The sequence below is a fragment of the Homo sapiens genome, chromosome 4 (assembly GCF_000001405.40).
Source record: "Homo sapiens chromosome 4, GRCh38.p14 Primary Assembly".
In the NCBI taxonomy this organism is placed as follows: domain Eukaryota; kingdom Metazoa; phylum Chordata; class Mammalia; order Primates; family Hominidae; genus Homo; species Homo sapiens.
In genome coordinates this window covers 88921382-88937393 of record NC_000004.12, presented here as the reverse complement: position 1 = coordinate 88937393, position 16012 = coordinate 88921382, and the positions used below count along the sequence as shown (strand labels likewise).

Genomic DNA, 16012 nt, shown 5'->3' with positions numbered 1-16012 from the left:
TGAGGTGAATCATGATGGAGCTGGTATGAGATTTCCTCAGGAGGTTTCTTGAAGCTTATCAGGTTTACAGACCATAACATACTCTTTGCTGATTCATATAGCAATGAATGATAAAATCAGAGGCACTTGGTTTGGGCACTTAAAGGAATGTTTTCATCTCTTCTCCCAGTTGAGGCCATGACTTTGAAGAAAGGTTAAAATGGTTTGAGTATCAAGTAGCATCCTACAAAAGGATCTAAAACTAGATTTTCTAGTTTGCTCAGTTAAAATGATAAAATGAGATAATTGGAGACTATCAGTTGTAAATCTGAGTTAGAAATAACACGGTAGCTGAAAAAAATGTCAGTGATTCACAAGAAAAAATAAGAAAACAACATTACTTCAGTTTTGCCTCAGAAAAGTTAAATGATTTTTTAAATAGAAAAAAATCGCCCTCAAGTTTGTTCCTCTAGTGCCTATGGTACTTTGAAAAGGATCTCTTTTTAAAATGTTAAAAGGTAATTAACTTTGTTTCAGCAGCATCTCTCAATCACATATACCCCATAAATATGTACAACTATTAAAGGACCTATAATGATAATTAAAAATAAAATATTTTAAAAATCTTTTATAAACAATTTTTAACACTCATACCTTTTTACTAGGGCAGATAAAATAATAAGGTGAACCTGAAGTATAATGGAAATAGATAAATATAATCTTAGGCAGGGCAAACTTGCTGAGATAAAGCTAATTGCTGGAATATGCCAATGGGAAGTTGATATGGTTTGGATGTTTGTCCCCTCCAAATCTCATATTGAAACGCAGTCCCTGGTGTTGGAGCTGGGGCCTGGTGGGAGGTGTTTGGATCATGAGGGCGGATCCTTCGTGAATGACTTAGTGCCATCCCCTTGGTGATGAGTGAGTTCTTGCTGTGAGTTCACAGGAGACCTGCTTGTTTAAAAGTGTGTGGCACTTCCCCCCCTCACTCTTGCTCCCACTCTCGCCATGTGATATGCCTGCTCCCCTTCTTCTTCTGCCGTGATTGTGAGCTTCCTGAGGCCTCATTAGAGGCAGATGTTCTGTATGGCCTGCTGAACTGTGAGTCAATTAAACCTCTTTTTGAAATAAATTACCCAGCCTTAAGTATTTCTTTATAGCAACACAAACAGACTAACACAGATGTTATTTGCTGTGCAAGTAAAATAACACCTGTTGAGATCTGTGGAAGAGTGCCCTGCTTGGAAATCCTTGAGTGACTAGGTTTAAGGCTGGTGGAGAACATCGTATGAGAATATAATATAAGACATAATTCTGTGGGAGCCAAATACAGATGTCTTAGGTAGATGAAGAAGAATATAAAATGGTGCTCTTTTAATGTAAGTTTCAGATCGGCCTAGAGGCAGATAAATGTCATGATTAGAAACTACATTTATATTCTCTGGAAGTGTCATTCTGCCAAAGCAGAATTTTAATGCATTTTTTTTAACTGATCTCGCTGATAGTCTCTTCTTTGAGAAAGTAGAGAATGTGACAAGGGGTGTGATTCTCTGGACTTAATCGTAACGAGTAAGGATGAAATAGAAGTTATGGAAATCATTTCAAAAGGATGTGCCAATGCCATTTTAGAGTTCATAGTAATAAAAGGAGAATATGTTAGCCACATTTAGATATGTAAACATTGACAATGCTTAGAAAACAGACTTTTTTGAAAATTGTAAAGATCATAGAAACATTAGATAGAAACTAAAAGGTAGATGGGCTTAAAAGAAATTGAGAATCTCAGAATGAAACTATTAATATACTGAAAAAGAAGAAAAATGAGAAGGTAATTAAAGAAAAGTTATCTTTCTGTTCATTTTTTCATATGAGTTCAGTTTTTGGAAGGATGAATATAAAGATAGGAAATGGGCGCAAAGTAAATGATAAAGACCCAAGAGTAACAGGGACATAAAATATATGAGTTGGGAATAAGGCAAGTCTCATGTAAATGACTTAGATATAAGGCTTTTAAGTGGGGAAAAGGACTAAACATAAACACTGACATACCTCTGTATATCCCAGTTTGGAGAACAGAGTCATAAAGTGTTGAATGAAGTTTCTTATATATTCTTGCATGTGAAACGGAGATTTGGGCCCAGAGAAATATGTTCGGTTGTATTTGGACCTAGATAAAGAACTTTGACCAGAGTATTGGAAGATGGAGTCTTTTTCTGTCATAGGCTATCAAAGCCTAATGTCTGTTTCTGTTCAGCTGACTCTGGTCAGTAGCTGCAAAATTGATCATGGCATCTACAGCACATTCATCAGCCTCACTTCAAGACAGACTTCCTCTGTCTGAAGGCCAAGGTAACAATAAGGGGAAAAGTTTTGTCAGTATGACTTCCCCTTCAACTTTGCTTTCCCTGCCATTCTTTGGGAGTGAACCTAGGTCCCTACAGAGTTTTTCCAGATTCTGCAATGGTTTGGCCATGTTGACTAGATCTAGTTACTCCAGTGAAGGAAATTTTGGATAGACCTCTTAGCCCTGTGACATTTGGAGAAATATGAGAATGTATATGTTGGCCCTTGGCATTTTAGCCTACATTTTGTTGAATTTGGCAAATAGTCTTCACAGTCAGTGGTCCACAGTTATGGCCATCTCTTACTTCACTTAAGTTGGAGGTTTCTTTTCTCTCTTTCATTAGTTTTGTTTTTATAGGTTTCAAGAAGGGAATTTACATAGGAACATTTTTATTTTGTCAAAATGAAAGGTTACAGCTGTATTTCTGAATAACTGGGTTAGGAGAAGCACATCTTTCCAGTAGGCATCTAACAGCCACAGTCTAATTTCTCCAGCTGCAGGATAATTCTAGATTTTCTCTTCAGAAGGTGTTCTAAATCCAGACACTAGTGAAGCCCCATTCAAGAAATAACTTAATCATCCAGATATTTACATACACAAAATTTAGTGAGAAAAGTATGGATAAAATAATGGACCATGGACTATACGTTGAATTCATTAAATCCAAGTGTTAATAATTATTCGGTGCCTACTAGGAGCAAAGCATTGTTCTAGGCATACTGAACAATAGATGAAAATCTCTGCTCTTATGATTCTTATATTCTCATGGAAATACACTAAACAACAGCCAATAAAAAAGAAAAGAAAATATGTAGTATGTCAGATGGTGATATATTCTGTGAAGTAAAATAAAGCAGGGAAAGGCAGAAGTAGAGGATTGGCCTTTGCTTATTTAAATAGGACAGTTAAAATGCTTCATTGACAAGAAAACGTTTGAGTAGAGACTTGAAGGAAGCAAGGGAGCAAGCCATGAAGACACTTGAGAGAAGAGTATTCCAGGCAAGGAGAAGAGCAGTACAAAGGTCTTGAGATGTGAATATACCTGGTCTGATGAGCAGTTGAGAGGCCAGTACAGTTGGATTACCATGAGCAAGATGGAATTGAAACGAAATGAGGCCACAAAGGAAACAAGGGATCAGCAGATTGTGTCTATTCATAGATCATTTTGAGGACTTTGACTTTTACTCTAAGTGAAGCTATTAGTCAGTATTAAGCAGAAGAGTGCTACGTTGTGACTTCTGTATTAAAAAGATTACTAGGTTCTTGAAAGGGATAGGCAGAAGTAGGGCAATGTATTAGGAGTTTATTACAGTAGTCCAGGTAAAAACAATGGTAAATTGGGCATGGATGATGGTAATGAAGGTGATGAGAAGATCTGAAGGTAAGCTAGGATATACAACAGCAATACAAAAGGAGGTACTAGAGACTGTAGTTAGGCTAAAGAATGTTTGAGGCAGAAGTAGATGAGCAAGCAAGCTAGAAGAATAGGGGCTGAAAACAGGAAATAGGAGGTTTGCATTACTGATTTTGGAGGTTGAGCTATCTGGAGTGAAAATAAGGCTTAGATTGGGTTTATGAGCATGAGGGACTAAAGTGAAGGAGAAGAGAAAATTATGGGAAAGGAGAAGGCAAAGAGATGGGAGATAAAGATATTGATGGTTTCTCCTTATTGACCCTGAATTTACCCAGAAGGGTGGCAGATATTGAGGGGGACAGTAGTCTATGAGCCTGGTTTGTCTTGTTGTCCAGTTTGTGTATAAGAGTTATGAATATATATGTAATAGGGTTCATGCAAACCTCATATATATGCATCCTATAAAATAATGTGATGAGCATATTGCTAAGTATCTATCTAGAAATATCTAGATGAATATGAGCCTATTCCAGATAAACATGTTATAAGACTTTCTTTATTAGACAGTGTTGCTGTTGCTCATTATATCTTTTGGAATTTTAAAGTTGTCTTCAGAGCATATATATGTCATTCATATACCATATTTTTCTGTATATCATTGGACTGGGAAATCTTCGTACTTTAATGCTTTATTTGATTGTGGGAAGTAATCAATAGTCATTTTAACCTATGGCATATCACTAAGTTGAGGAGTGCTGATTATATGTTAACTTTTGGGTTTAAAATTTAAATCTGGCTATAAAATAATTATGTTGATTTTCTTATATGACTTTTAAGCAAACTCTCAAAACAGTTACTAACAAATGCTCTGAGCAAAGCAAAATATTAGAATGGCCTTCCATAGCGATTAGTTCGAAGGAAGTGCCCACATTAATAAATGTTATGGCAAGTTTGACCACAAAGCTCATTTTTTTGTGTATTTGACTTTCCGGTCAAAAAATTTAATATTGTTTATGTAGAATCAAAGTCACTTACCATATAAACTGATATATCACAGAAACTTCCTAAACCATTTCCCATATCTTTTTCATGCTCAAAAACATTGCATGTGTCTCCATTTTCATTTAGGGCCACAGCCTAAGCACAATTAACTTCAACAAATGTTTATTCACTTTTTTCTTATTTAATGCAAAACTACTCTGGGCAAAGCTTTGTACTAAGTGCTGGAGAGCTTCAGAAAATAAATAAGACATGTCCCTGTCCTTGGGGGACCTTACAGTCTAAAAGAAACAAACAAACTCAGTGTAGGAACACAGGGGCAAAAGGGAGAATAGGGCTTTATGCTAGACATTGTGCCAAATTCTTCTATATATGTATCTCATTTACTACTGACAGTAACCTCACAAGTAATTGATCTTAATACTGGTTTACAGATGAGGAAATGTAATGATAAATTGCTTAAGATCACACAACAGTAAATGACAGAGCTGGGTTTTGAAATCAAGAAAGTACTGATTAGAGGCAAAGTAGAGAAATAACCAAAATCTTAGAGATTTAACTGAGGCCATCAGTGCCATGAGCTTTTATATGTGTTTTCATTTAATGAGTATGTACTGTAGCAACTTAGTGTCAGTGTCAGGAAAGTAGTTGAACTCTGTTCTTCTGACTCCTATATGTCTTCACTATTCCTAACCTCTTCTGTAGCCCCTCAAGAATATTAGAACCTTCTGAGCAGCAGGAGAGTTATAACAGGAAATAAAAGATGTTTTTGGCTTTTTGTTGTTTGCTTCTTTGTAATCTGATTGTATTATCTCTCCTTTTGTGTAGGTAAACTTACATAGTGAGAATGACTAGCTTGTACCCACCAAAATCTATATGTTATCATTTTGAGCATTTATGAAACTCAGAGGTGGCACTTATTTAGAATTCATTTGTTCCTTTCTTCAGAACAAATCCTTCTTTTGATCGTGAGTTATAATTTTTAGGTAGATTCTGAATTTGGAGGTTAAAAAAAGTTAAATGATGTATTTTTAAAATGCAATGATTAAATAGCATGACAGATCATAGAGTTGAGATCAAGATGGCTGAATAGACCCAGTAGTATATGTCTCCTTCACAGAGAGGGACCAGAATAGTAAGTAGATACATTTTGAACAGATTGTCTAGGAGAAGACACTAGGATTCACCAGAGAAGAGATGGGAAACACCAGAGATAAGTAAGGAGAGGGTTTGAGGCAGCCTGCATGGCCAGGGACTGACTGAGAGCCAGGAGAGGCTCCTGGACATGGGGAAACAGTGAAAGAGAAACCCCCAGGGCTCCACACTCTGGAACAGGCTTTTATAGTTTTGGATATAGGAAAAACTCTCAACCCACTAGGGCCTTTACCCTGACACATGGAGCTCCAGAAAGGGAACCCACACAGAATCCCACAGGCATCCAAGCCTAGAGCAGCCTCATCTGGATGCCACTTTGAGAGTAGCCTAGATACCCATCATCTACAGACACAGCTGCTGCCACCACATTGCTCCAAGGAGAGAGAGGGGAAACCAAGCACTCCCATGCACCCATGGGAGGGTCCCTGCCACCCTGCTGTGAGCTGCTGTTGAGACTGAGATGTGAGTGGACTGCACTCCCCACAGCTTCTTGTCCAGGCTTCTTGCCTGAGAGGGACCCCACTCTTTCTGGTCCCAGGCCCAAGGCACCATTTTGAGAGTTTAACACTAGGCTGTGCCTCACTGTTAAGCCAAGTTTGAGGCAACATGGCTGCACTCATCACCTAGCCATGGGAAGGACAGGAAAGAGCAAGCTCTCCTAAGCTTAGGACAATACATATCACCTTGCTATAAGCGGCTGTGGGACTGCAGAATAGGCTGCCCCACTCACTGTTGCTTTCAGCAACATTAACACAGACCACTTGGGGGCCAGTGGGTTGCTCCACCACTGCTATGCCATCACCCATACCACTTCAGTTGCCTAGGACCTTAAGAGCCCACTCACACATGTAGCCCAATACTCTCACAACTAGCTTCTGTGAAAGCCACCAGGAGGCCCAAGAATCAGCCCTCCAGGACCCACTAATGCTGCAGCAAGCTAAAGTAAGCTGCTCTGGGGCCTAAAAACAGGGACACTTAATCCATTGCTGCCACCACCAGGGCCCAAATACTGGCTTAGTTGATGTCCAAGTCCCCAGCAAAGCTTCACCACAGCCTCACCTAATAACTACTCTAAGCCACCTAGGAAATCACAGATACCACTGACCCTGTGTATTGCTGAGTGTCATACAAAGATTATACTACCTCAGGTGCCCAAAATCAAAGCCAAAGTATGCTACTCAACCAGAAAAAATACATCTTCAGAATAAAATTCTCCCCTACAAAAGCAATTTTTAAAAATGGGAACAAGTGATTACTATACCAGATGTGTAATTATCAAAGGAAGGACATAAAAAACATGAAAAAGCATGGAAATAGGACACCACCAGAGGACACAACAAGTGTCCAGTAACAAATCCCCATCAAAACAAAATTCCTCAAAATGCCAGATGAGGAATTCAAAATATTGGTTTTAAAGAAGCTCAATGAGATGCAAGATAATTCTGAAAACCAGTACAAAGAAATCAGAAAATCAATTCAGGATATGAATGTGAAACATACCAAGAGATTGATATCTTAAAAAAAAAATGAGCTCGGTGGCTTACCTGTATAATCCCAGCACTTTGGGAGGCTGAAGCAGGAGGATCACTTGAGCATAGGAGTTCAAGACCAGCTTGGGCAACATGGCAAGACCCTGTCTTTACAAAAAAATTCAAAAACTAGCTGGGCATGGTGGTACACACCTGTAGTCCCAGGTATTCAAGAGGCCAAGGTGGGAGGATCACTTGAGACCAGAAAATTGAGGTTGCAGTGAGCTGTGTTTGCACCACTGTGTTCCAGCCTGAGTGACAGAGAGAGATCCTGTCTCAAAAACAAAAAACAAAGCAGAAATTTTGGAATTAAAAAAATGCACTGAAGCAAATACAGAATACATTTGAAAGCTCCAATAATAGACTTGACCAAGTAGGAGAAAGAATCTCAGAACTTGAAGACAGGTCTTTTGAAATAATCCAGTCAGACAAAAAGAAAAAAAAAGGAAAAAAAGATGAACAAAGCCTTCAAGACATATGGAACTACAAAAAGTGACTGAACTTACAAATTATTGGCATTCCTGAGGGGGAAGAGGGATAAAAAAAAGTTTAGAAAATCTAAGGAAATAATTGATGAAAACTTCCCAAATCTAGCAAGAAAGTTAGACATCCAGATATAGGAGTCCCAGCAATCTCCAGGAAAATACGTTGCAAAAAAGACTGCACCATGGCATATTATATTCAGAATGTCTAAAGTAAAAGTGAAAGAAAGAATTTTCAAATTAGCCAGAGAAAAAAGTCTAGTTATCAATATAAGAAACCCCTTCAGTCTAATATCGGACATTTCAGCAGGAACCTTACAGGCCACAAGAGAATAGGATGGCACTTTCAAAGTGCTGAAAGAAAAAAAAAACTATCAGCCAAGAATTTTATATCCTTCCAGAATATACTTCATAGATGAAGGAGAACTAAAGTTTTTATTAGACAAGCAAATGCTCAGACAATCTGTCACCACTAGACTGGCCCTACAGGAAATGGCCAAAGGCGTCTTAAAAATGGAAATGAAAAGTTAATATTCACCATCATGAAAACACCTGGAAATATGAAACTCAGAGTTCTTATAAAGCAATCACAGAAAGGAGGAAGAGAGAAGAATAAAATGACAACATGATAATTTCATCAAACCACAAAGACAAAATTAGAGAAAAAGAAACAAAGAATTTATAAAACAATTTGAAAGCAATTAACAATATGACAGGATCAAAGCCTCACATATAAATATTAACCTTGAATGTAAATGGATTAAATGTTCCACTTAAAAGATACAGATTGGCAGACTGGATTAAAAAGAAAGAAGCATGATCCAACTATATGCTCCCACAAGAAACCCACCTTACATGTAAAAAGACACATAGGCTGAAAGTTAAAGAATAGAAAAAGATATTCCAGGCAAACAGAAACCAAAACCAAGCAGGAGTAGCTATACTTATATCAGATAAAACAAACTTTAAATCAAAAACAGTAATAAAAGACAAAGAAGGTTTTATGTAATGATAAAGGGATCAATTCAGCAAGATATACTCTGGGAACCCTACCCTGGAACACCCAGAGTCACAAAACAAATATTTCTAGGCATAAAGAAATAGACAGCAATACAGTAGTAATAGGGACAGCAATAGACAGATCATTGAGACAGAAAATTAACAAAGAAACATTAGATTTAAGTTGGACTTTAGACTAAACGGACTTAGCAGACATTCGCAGAACATTCTACCCAACAACTATGGAATATACATTCTTCTCTTCAGCACATGGAACATTCTCTGAGATAGACCACATGGTTGGGCCACAAAACAAGTCTTTATAAATTTTTAAAAATCAAAATGATATCAAGTATTTTCTCAGACCACAGTGGAATAAAAACTAGAAATTAATACCAAAAGGAACTTCAGAAACTATACAGACACATGGAAATTAAACAACATGCTCCTGAATGATCACTGGGTCAATGAAGAAATTAAGACAGAAATTTTAAATTTTTTGAATCAGATGAAAATGAAAACACACCATACACAGGATACAGCAAAAATAGTGTTAAGAGGGAAGTTTGTGGCATTAAATGCCTACATTAAAAAATTAACAACCTAACTTCACACCTCAAGGAACTAGAAAAACAAGACAAAGCAAATCCCAAGTTTGCAAAAGAAAGGAAATAACAAAGATCAGAATAGAACTAAATAAGAAATCCCCCAAAAATACAAAGGACCAATGAAATGAAAAGTTGGTTATTCAAAAAGACAGACAAAATTGATAGACCACTCACTAGACTAACCAAGAAAAGAAGGGAGAAGATCCAGATAAACACACAATCAGAAATGAAAAAGGAAACATAACAACTTACACCACAGAAATAAAAAAAATCATCAAAGACTATTATGAACAACTATAGGCTCACAAACTACAAAACCTAGAGGAAATAGATAAATTCCTAGAAACATACAACTTTCTGAGATTGAACCAGAAATAGATAGCACTCCTGAACAGACCAACAATAAGTAGAAAAATTGAATCAGTATTAAAAAAAATTCTACCAAGAGAAAAAAAAAACCTAGAACCAGATGGACTCACCAGAGCAATCAAGCAAGATTAAAAAAAAAAAAGACATCCAAATTGGAGTAGAGTAAGTCAAATTATCCCTGTTCATTGATTATACAATCTTATATCTAGAAATCCCTAAAGGCTCCACCAAAAAACTCTTAGATTTGGTAAAGGCTCGAGATACAAATTTGATGTACAGAAATCAGTAGCATTTCTATATACCATTAAGGACCTAGCTGAGTACCAAATCAAGAAGAAATCCCATTTACACTACTAGCTATACAAAAAAAAAAATATACATAGGAATATATTTAAACAAGAAGGTGAAAGATCTCTATCAGGGGAACTAAAAAACACCGGTGGAAAAAAAACTGTAGATGACACAAGCAAATGGAAAAACATCCCAGTCTTATGGATTGGGATAGCACTGTTCACGATAACAAAGATAGAATTAACCTTAATGTCCATCAAGGGAGAATTGGATAAAGAAAATGTGTGTGTGTGTGTCTGTCGGTGGGTGTAGGTGTGTGTACACACACTAAAAGCCCAGACTTCACCACTGTGTAATATATGCATGTAAGAAATATGCACCTGTCCCCCTAATTATATAAAAGTTAAATTTTTAATAGCATGGTAGAGGGTTGTTTGCTTGAATTACTCAAATGGGCAACTTTTGGTAGTAGAAACTAATTAGACTAACAAGAAGTGTAAAGCATTAAGTAATAAAAGTAATATTAAAAGTTACTTCATAGTTTGGAATGCTTTATGGCTCCAATTTTTAGATCATACTCATATATTTACAATTTAGATTGCTGTTAATTTCTTCTCCCCAGACATTTTGTTTTATAGAGCGATTATAGGTAAACACTAGAAAGTCATGTCTTCTCATGAATCATTAGATGTAACACATTGCCAGATATTACATTCTTTCCTATTATAAGGAATAATTAACAGAAGACAGACTAAATTGCTTTTGCTTATGAAGACGCCATTATGCTATGTATCCTTTAAACTGTTTCCAGTGAGATGGCAAAACTTTGGAACTGTTTGTTAAAGAAGCTGACTACTTTAAATCATTATACTGTGTATATTTGGCAAATAGGAGGCACTCAGTAAATGGCAAGCGAATATTTGAGGTTTTTAAAGATCACTTATGTTTTCTATAAAACTGAATTTCTGATATTTTCTTCAGTTGATCTCCTCAGGATGAAAGTTATACTTCTGTGGGCTGGAAGTGCCTAGAAATGAACATCCTTCCAGGGATGGGGGGTAAGCCTTACCCATGGCTGAAAACTGTGGGGGTGTAAATTTCCAGCTGCTTTACTCCTCGATTGGAATTATTCTGGGGTGTGTATTTTACACTGTTGCCCGAGCTCTCCCCTAAATTTAAGCTTCAGAACCACTGTGGGAGCTTAAGAGTGACATTTCTTGTTGGCTCCCTTCCTCCCTCTCTTATCACCCCCATTCCACCGCAGAACCACCCGCATAAACTACTTGCTCTCAATCCTCGCAGCAAGTTCTGCTTCTGGTTAAGTTGGTGCGGGTCCAACTGAGACATCTCAAATACTACCCCCTCCACGAAGCCCTCCCCATCCTCCAGGTACAGTTAATCCTCATCTCCTTTCTTGTCTTGTGGCACTTTCTTTCTCCTTCTGTTAGAACATTCTGCCTTGGATAAGTTGGGGTTTTTTTTCCTCTCACGTTGCATTGTAAATTTTTCTAGGGTGAGAACAATATCTCATATTTACTTATACATTGGCATTTCTCTTTTTTTATTTTTATTTATTTTTTATTTTATTATTATTATACTTTAAGTTTTAGGGTACATGTGCACAATGTGCAGGTTAGTTACATATGTATACATGTGCCATGCTGGTGTGCTGCACCCATTAACTCGACATTTAGCATTAGGAGATATACCTCCCCCCTCCCCCCACCCCACAACAGTCCCCAGAGTGTGATGTTCCCCTTCCTGTGTCCATGTGTTCTCATTGTTCAATTCCCACCTATGAGTGAGAACACGCAGTGTTTGGTTTTTTGTCCTTGCGATAGTTTACTGAGAATGATGATTTCCAATTTCATCCATGTCCCTACAAAGGATGTGAACTCATCATTTTTTATGGCTGCATAGTATTCCGTGGTGTATGTGTGCCACATTTTCTTAATCCAGTCTATCATTGTTGGACATTTGGGTTGGTTCCAAGTCTTTGCTATTGTGAATAGAGCCGCAATAAACATACATGTGCATGTGTCTTTATAGCAGCATGATTTATAGTCCATTGAGTATATACCCACTAATGGGATGGCTGGGTCAAATGGTATTTCTAGTTCTAGATCCCTGAGGAATCGCCACACTGACTTCCACAATGGTTGAACTAGTTTACAGTCCCACCAACAGTGTAAAAGTGTTCCTATTTCTCCACATCCTCTCCAGCACCTGTTGTTTCCTGACTTTTTAATGATTGCCATTCTAACTGGTGTGAGATGGTATCTCATTGTGGTTTTGATTTGCATTTCTCTGATGGCCAGTGATGATGAGCATTTTTTCATGTGTCTTTTGGCTGCATAAATGTCTTCTTTTGAAAAGTGTCTGTTCATATCCTTTGCCCACTTTTTGATGGGGTTGTTTGTTTTTTTCTTGTAAATTTGTTTGAGTTCATTGTAGATTCTGGATATTAGCCCTTTGTCAGATGAGTAGGTTGCAAAAATTTTCTCCCATTTTGTAGGTTGCCTGTTCACTCTGATGGTAGTTTCTTTTGCTGTGCAGCAGCTCTTTAGTTTAATTAGATCCCATTTGTCAATTTTGGCTTTTGTTGCTATTGCTTTTGGTGTTTTAGACATGAAGTCCTTGCCCATGCCTATGTCCTGAATGGTAATGCCTAGGTTTTCTTCTAGGGTTTTTATGGTTTTAGGTCTAAAGTTTAAGTCTTTAATCCATCTTGAATTAATTTTTGTATAAGGTTTAAAGAAGGGGTCCAGTTTCAGCTTTCTACATATGGCTAGCCAGTTTTCCCAGCACCATTTATTAAATAGGGAACCCTTTCCCCATTTCTTGTTTTTGTCAGGTTTGTCAAAGATCAGATAGTTGTAGATATGTGGCGTTATTTCTGAGGGCTCTGTTCTGTTCCATTGATCTATATCTGTGTTTTGGTACCAGTACCATGCTGTTTTGGTTACTGTAGCCTTGTAGTATAGTTTGAAGTCAGGTAGCATGATGCCTCCAGCTTTGTTCTTTTGGCTTAGGATTGACTTGGCGATGCGGGCTCTTTTTGGGTTCCATATGAACTTTAAAGTAGTTTTTTCCAATTCTGTGAAGAAAGTCATTGGTAGCTTGATGGGGATGGCATTGAAGGTATAAATTACCTTGGGCAGTATGGCCATTTTCACGATATTGATTCTTCCTACCCATGAGCATGGAATGTTCTTCCATTTGTTTGTATCCTCTTTTATTTCATTGAGCAGTGGTTTGTAGTTCTCTTTGAAGAGGTCCTTCACGTCCTTTGTAAGTTGGATTCCTAGGTATTTTATTCTCTTTGAAGCAATTGTGAATGGGAGTTCACTCATGATTTGGCTCTCTGTTTGTCTGTTACTGGTGTATAAGAATGCTTGTGATTTTCGTACATTGATTTTGTATCCTGAGACTTTGCTGAAGTTGCTTATCAGCTTAAGGAGATTTTGGGCTGAGACAATGGGGTTTTCTAGATATACAATCATGTCATCTGCAAACAGGGACACTTTGACTTCCTCTTTTCCTAATTGAATACCCTTTATTTCCTTCTCCTGCCTAATTGCCCTGGCCAGAACTTCCAACACTGAGTTGAGTAGGAGTGGTGAGAGAGGGCATCCCTGTCTTGTGCCAGTTTTCAAAGGGAATGCTTCCAGTTTTTGCCCATTCAGTATGATATTGGCTGTGGGTTTGTCATAAATAGCTCTTATTATTTTGAGATATGTCCCCTCAATACCTAACTTATTGAGAGTTTTTAGCATGAAGGGTTGTTGAATTTTGTCAAAGGCCTTTTCTGCATCTTTCGAGATAATCATGTGGTTTTTGTCTTTGGTTCTGTTTATATGCTGGATTACATTTATTGATTTGCGTTTGTTGAACCAGCCTTGCATCCCAGGGATGAAGCCCACTTGATCATGGTGGATAAGCTTTTTGATGTGCTGCTGAATTCGGTTTGCCAGTATTTTATTGAGGATTTTTGCATTGATGTTCATCAAGGATATTGGTCTAAAATTCTCTTTTTTGTTGTTGTGTCTCTGCCAGGCTTTGGTATCAGGATGATGCTGGCCTCATAAAATGAGTTAGGGAGGATTCCCTCTTTTTCTATTGATTGGAATAGTTTCAGAAGGAATGGTACCAGTTCCTCCTTGTACCTCTGGTAGAATTCGGCTGTGAATCCATCTGGTCCTGGACCCTTTTTGGTTGGTAAGCTATTGATTATTGCCACAATTTCAGAGCCTGTTATTGGTCTATTCAGAGATTCAACTTCTTCCTGGTTTAGTCTTGGGATGGTGTATGTGTCGAGGAATTTATCCATTTCTTCTAGATTTTCTAGTTTATTTGCGTAGAGGTGTTTGTAGTATTCTCTGATGGTAGTTTGAATTTCTGTGGGATCGGTGGTGATATCCCCTTTATCATTTTTTATTGCGTCTATTTGATTCTTCTCTCTTTTTTTCTTTATTAGTCTGCTAGCGGTCTATCAATTTTGTTGATCCTTTCAAAAAACCAGCTCCTGGATTCATTAATTTTTTGAAGGTTTTTTGTGTCTCTATTTCCTTCAGTTCTACTCTGATTTTAGTTATTTCTTGCCTTCTGCTAGCTTTTGAATGTGTTTGCTCTTGCTTTTCTAGTTCTTTTAATTGTGATGTTAGAGTGTCAATTTTGGATCTTTCCTGCTTTCTCTTATGGGCATTTAGTGCTATAAATTTCCCTCTACACACTGCTTTGAATGTGTCCCAGAGATTCTGGTATGTTGTGTCTTTGTTCTCGTTGGTTTCAAAGAACATCTTTATTTCTGCCTTCATTTCGTTATGTACCCAGTAGTCACTCAGGAGCAGGTTGTTCAGTTTCCATGTAGTTGAGCGGTTTTGAGTGAGTTTCTTAATCCTGAGTTCTAGTTTGATTGCACTGTGGTCTGAGAGACAGTTTGTTATAATGTCTGATCTTTTACATTTGCTGAGGAGAGCTTTACTTCCAATTATGTGGTCAATTTTGGAATAGGTGTGGTGTGGTGCTGAAAAAAATGTATATTCTGCTGATGTGGGGTGGAGAGTTCTGTAGATGTCTATTAGGTCCGCTTGGTGCAGAGCTGAGTTCAATTCCTGGGTATCCTTGTTAACTTTCTGTCTCATTGATCTGTCTAATGTTGACAGTGGGGTGTTAAAATCTCCCATTATTATTATGTGGGAGTCTAAGTCTCTTTGTAGGTCACTGAGGACTTGCTTTATGAATCTGGGTGCTCCTGTATTGGGTGCATATATATTTAGGATAGTTAGCTCTTCTTGTTGAATTGATCCCTTTACCATTATGTAATGGCCTTCTTTGTCTCTTTTGATCTTTGTTGGTTTAAAGTCTGTTTTATCAGAGACTAGGATTGCCACCCCTGCCTTTTTTTGTTTTCCATTTGCTTGATAGATCTTCCTCCATCCTTTTATTTTGAGCCTATGTTTGTCTCTGCACGTGAGATGGGTTTCCTGAATACAGCACACTGATGGGTCTTGACTCTTTATCCAATTTGCCAGTCTGTGTCTTTTAATTGGAGCATTTAGTCCATTTACATTTAAAGTTAATATTGTTTGTGTGAATTTGATCCTGTCATTGTGATGTTAGCTGATTATTTTGCTCGTTAGTTGATGCAGTTTCTTCCTAGTCTCGAAGGTCTTTACATTTTGGCATGATTTTGCAGCGGCTGGTACCAGTTGTTCCTTTCCATGTTTAGTGCTTCCTTCAGGAGCTCTTTTATGGTAGGCCTGGTGGTGACAAAATCTCTCAACATTTGCTTGTCTGTAAAGGATTTTATTTCTCCTTCACTTATGAAGATTAGTTTGGCTGGATATGAAATTCTGGGTTGAAAATTCTTTTCTTTAAGAATGTTGAATATTGGCCCTCAC

At 37.6% G+C, this 16012-nt stretch overlaps 1 protein-coding gene and 1 long non-coding RNA gene across 20 annotated transcripts in view; one reads left to right on the top strand and one right to left on the bottom strand.

Moving 5' to 3' along the window:
* The window catches only part of LOC105377327 (uncharacterized), a 32160-nt gene extending 22259 nt beyond the window's left edge, over positions 1-9901 (bottom strand). The window contains exon 1 of one of the 2 annotated variants that reach the window (XR_938977.3): positions 7376-9901. This is a non-coding gene — a long non-coding RNA (uncharacterized LOC105377327). The remainder of the gene's footprint in view (positions 1-7375) is intronic. The other variant, XR_007058188.1, reaches the window with a different exon arrangement.
* The window catches only part of FAM13A (family with sequence similarity 13 member A), a 331226-nt gene that overhangs the window by 119792 nt on the left and 195422 nt on the right, over positions 1-16012 (top strand). For 2 of the 18 annotated variants that reach the window (XM_017007633.3, XM_047449484.1), the window contains exon 1: positions 903-1080. The exons of the other annotated variants lie outside the window; for them this stretch is intronic. The gene's annotated coding sequence lies outside the window, so the exon portion shown is untranslated. Of the gene's footprint in view, positions 1-902; positions 1081-16012 lie in introns of those variants that run through there. 18 annotated transcript variants of the gene reach the window in all.